This window comes from Homo sapiens, chromosome 5 (genome assembly GCF_000001405.40).
Source record: "Homo sapiens chromosome 5, GRCh38.p14 Primary Assembly".
Taxonomy (NCBI): domain Eukaryota; kingdom Metazoa; phylum Chordata; class Mammalia; order Primates; family Hominidae; genus Homo; species Homo sapiens.
The window spans coordinates 32,210,750-32,215,120 of NC_000005.10; the positions used below are offsets into that span (position 1 = coordinate 32,210,750).

Consider the following 4,371-nt stretch of genomic DNA (forward strand, 5'->3'; position numbering starts at 1 on the left):
ACTCCATCTCAAAAAAAAAAAAAAAGTATGAGTTTAGGTGTTTAAAAATGAGAGGTAGAAATAAATGCTGATTTACAATGTTATACACAATTTATAAGATTTTAAAGATTTTTTTTCTAATTTTGATAAAGTTCCATGTTGTTGTGAAGACTATTGCTTTGTAAATAGTGTGGGGGGTACGTGTGTGTGTGTGGACAGTACATGTACTCTTCTGTACACACACGCACATGCACACCACACATGATTACCATGGAAGCCGCCATGTCAGTGCGCCATGATTCTGCCCGTGTGCAGGTGACTGCCTCAGGGCTGTGTACTTATCCCAGCTGAGACACTCTCAATCCTTACTCTGGAGATTTAGATCTGAAAGTCCCAGGGTTATAAATTTTTAAGTCAGGGGCTTTAGGATGCACATTTTCCCTCACTTGGACCAGAGAAAACTGATCCAGAGAGAAAGTGGGGAGGAAACAGAGTAAACAAACTGAGAGGAGCCCCTGAGATGGAGAAAGAACGTAGGCAGCATTTGCATTTCTGGTTCCAGTAACTGGGGAGGCCCTGCTATTTCCTGTCATTGAGTTTCTGAGATAGAACAGGATCCTTATGACAACTTCCCCCTTTGGTTAAAGCACAATCAATTTGGGTTTCTCTCTTTCGCAACCAAAGGGAAAAAAATCAATAGCTAACTCACAAGTTCATTGTAGGGAAAAAGTTCAATTAAAAAATATATAAAGAGGCCGAGTGTGGTGGCACATGCCAGTAATCCCAGCACTTTGGGAGGCTGAGGCGAGTGGATCACTTGAGGTCAGGAGTTTGAGACCAGCCTGGCCAACATGGAGAACCCCATCTCTACTAAAAATACAAAAATTAGCTGGGTGTGGTGGCAGGTGCCTGTAGTCCCAGCTACTCAGGAAGCTGCAACAGAAGAATAGCTTGAAACCGGGAGTCAGAGGTTGCAGTGGGCTGAGATTAAGCCACTGCACTCCAGCCTGGGTGACAGAGCGAGACTCCAACTCAAATAAATAAATATATATATATATATATATAACCCCAAATATATGAACATCTAATGTGTCAATAAAAATAAAATAATATATAAAAAGGAGAAAAAAATGACCAATAAATCCATTGCTTTGAGATAACTTATCTTAACATTTGGGAATGTTTTCCTGCTACTTTTCCATGCATTTATGTAAATTAAACTAGAATTTTGACTTTTTTTTTTTTTTTTTTTTTGGAGACAGAGTCTCACTCTGTGGCCCAGGCTGGAGTGCTGGAGTGCAGTGGCATGATCTCGGCTCACTGCAACCTCCACCTCCCGAGTTCAAGCAATTCTCCTCCCTCAGCCTCCCAAGTAGCTGGGACTACAGGTGCCCACCACCAGGCCTGGCTAATTTTTTGTATTTTTAGTAGAGACAGGGTTTCACTGTGTTGCCCAGGCTGGTCTTGAACTCCTGAGCTCAGGCAATCCACCCGCCTCGGCCTCCCAACGTGCTAGGATTGCAGGTGTGAGCCACAGCATCCGGCCATGATTTTTAAATTCATACTTTTTTCACTGAATATATTGTGGCAAGACATACTATTTGATTGCACAACAGGGTGACTATAGCCAATAATAACTTAATCGCACATTTTTAAATGAGTCTAATTGGATTGTTTGTAACACAAAGGATAACTGTTTGAGGGGATGGATAGCCCATTCTCCATGATGTGCTTATTTCACATTGCATGCCTGTATCAGAACATCTCAGCCGTGTGCGGTGGCTCATGCCTGTAATCCCAGCACTTTGGGAAGCCGAGGTGGGTGAATCACGAGGTCAGGAGATGGAGACCATGCTGGCTAACACGGTGAAACCCTGTCTCTACTAAAAATACAAAAAATTAGTTGGGCGTGGTGGTGGGCACCTGTAGTCCCAGCTACTCTGGAGGCTGAGGCAGGAGAATCACTTGAACTCGGGAGGTGGAGCTTGCAGTGAGCAGAGATCGCATCACTGCACTCCAGCCTGGGCAACAGAGTGAGACTCTGTCTCAAAAAAAAAAAAAAAGAAAAAAAAGAATATCTCATGTACTCCACAAATATATATACCTACTGTGTACCCACAAACATTTTTTAATGTAAAAAAAAGAAAATATTATGGACATTTTCTTATGTCAGTTAATATACCTCACAATATGATTTTTTTATTATTTTATTTTTATTTTTTTTTACAGTCTCACACTATTGCCTGGGCTGGAGTGCAATGGCACAATCTCAGCTCACTGCAACCTCTGCCTCCTGGGTTCAAGCGATTCTCCTGCCTCAACCTCCCAAGTAGCTGGGATTACAGGTGCCCACCACTACGCCTGGCTTATTTTTTGTATTTTTTAGCAGAGATGGGGTTTCACTATGTTGGCCAGGCTGGTCTCGAACTCCTGACCTTGTGATCCACCCACCTTGGCCTCCCAAAGTGCTGGGATTACAGGCGTGAGCCACTGCGCCTGGCCCACAATATAATTATTATGATTATGACGATTTGTGTTTATGAGATTTTTGTAAATGTATTCTTGTAGTATGAGTGCAAAGACAAATTCAGTTTGATTTGATCTATTTCTGAGAATAAGATCTGTGATGTAATTAATAGGAAAGAAAAAATGGCTAACATGGAGGGGCGATATTGATTTCTACTAAATGAGATAAAGAATAAAGTATTTGCATAATGTAATTTCCTTGAAAACTGATCATTGATAAAAGCCACTCTTTCTTTCTCCTTTACCATTTACCCAAACACAAGGAAGTAGTTCTAGAAATAAAAATAGTTTTTAGAAAAAAAAGTCAACGTTTACTAAGCACTCCCTATGACCAACATTGTACTATGCACCTTTCATGGACTGCTTTTTAAAATACTCAAGTAATTATATGTAATATCTAGTCAAAAAATGGGTATTTCAAATTCCCCTCTTGATACTTACTGCAAGAGAAACGACATCAATATAAGTTTTGCTGGCCAGGTGCATAGCTAGACTATACCTATAGTCCTAGCTACTCAGGAGGCCAAGGTGGGAGGATTGCTTGAGCCCAGGATTTTGAATCCACCCTGGCCAACATGACAAGACCCTATCTCTTAAAATGAATAAATAAACAAATAAATAAAATAGGGGTACTCAATAGATAAAATATTTATTTATTTATTTTTAATGGTTTAATGTTTAATGATAATCATTGTTTTGCCATGGGGTAACTAGACATGACTGGCAGTTTATATAAATAACCCATAATTAGTCCACTTCAGTACAAACCAAATAATCAGTTTCTCTCTTTTCTTTTTGTGAATTTTCCTGGGTCATATTGACAATTTTTCCTAATACTACACACTGTTTCATCTTTGTCTTTTTCATGCATGCTTCATTGACACATATAAAATTAAATGTCTGCATCTTGAAGGTCCCAACAGTTAGTTCTTTGGTTCCCAAATCTTTTGTTTGTTTATTATTGTTATTATTTTACTTTAAGTTCTGGGATATATGTGCAGAATGTGCAGGTTTGTTACATAGGTACACATGTGCCATGGTGGTTTGCTGCACCTAACAACCCATCATCTAGGTTTTAAGCCCCGCATGTATTAGGTATTTGTCCTAATGCTCTTCCTCCCGTTGCCCCCAACCTCCAACAGGCCCCAGTGTATGATGTTCCCCTCCCTGTGTCCATGTGTTCTCATTGTTCAACTCCCACTTATGAGTGAGAACATGACATGGTATTTGGTTTTCTGTTCCTGTGTTAGTTTTTTGAGAATTATGGTTTCCAGCTTTATCCAAGTCTCTGCAAAGGAGATGATCTCATTCTTTTTCATGGCTGCATAGTATTCCATGGTGTATATGTGCCACATTTTCTTTATCCAGTCTATCATGATAGGCATTTGGGTTAGTTCTAAGTCTTTGCTATTATAAATAGTGCTGCAATAAACTAGATACAATATTTATAATAAAACTAGTATTATGTTAATATAAAAGTTGAGATAAAGTACAAGGTCAAAGCCAAGGTCTGATTACATTGCTTTACCATGAGACCCCCTTCACTTCCCTGAAAACTGATGCTGAACAATGCACCATAGCTTCTATCCTTGGGTTCCTTTCTCAAGCTTTTTCTAATCATTGCTTTTCTTATGTGGAAGCAGGCAGGGGCCTAGTGATGAAGGGTCCTATTAGGCTGGGACCTGAGGGGCTGAGGAGTCACATTTATCCTAAGGGCAACTAGAGGCCTTAAAGAATTGTATGTAAGTGGCATGATCTGGTTGGCATTTTAGAAAGATTCTGGCTGCAAAGTGGGGCTCAGATTGGAGAGAAACAGGAAGGATGCAATCAGAGAAGTTGATAGAGGAGTCCAGGTGACAGCACAGG

The 4,371-nt window shown here is 40.1% G+C and overlaps 1 annotated feature.

The window, feature by feature from the left end:
* Positions 856-1,015: a silencer, noted in NCBI's record as "silent region_15954". NCBI's record gives its function as "represses an Ori minimal core promoter by ATAC-STARR-seq in GM12878 lymphoblastoid cells {active_cell/tissue: GM12878}" and the evidence as "EXISTENCE:reporter gene assay evidence [ECO:0000049][PMID:35858748]".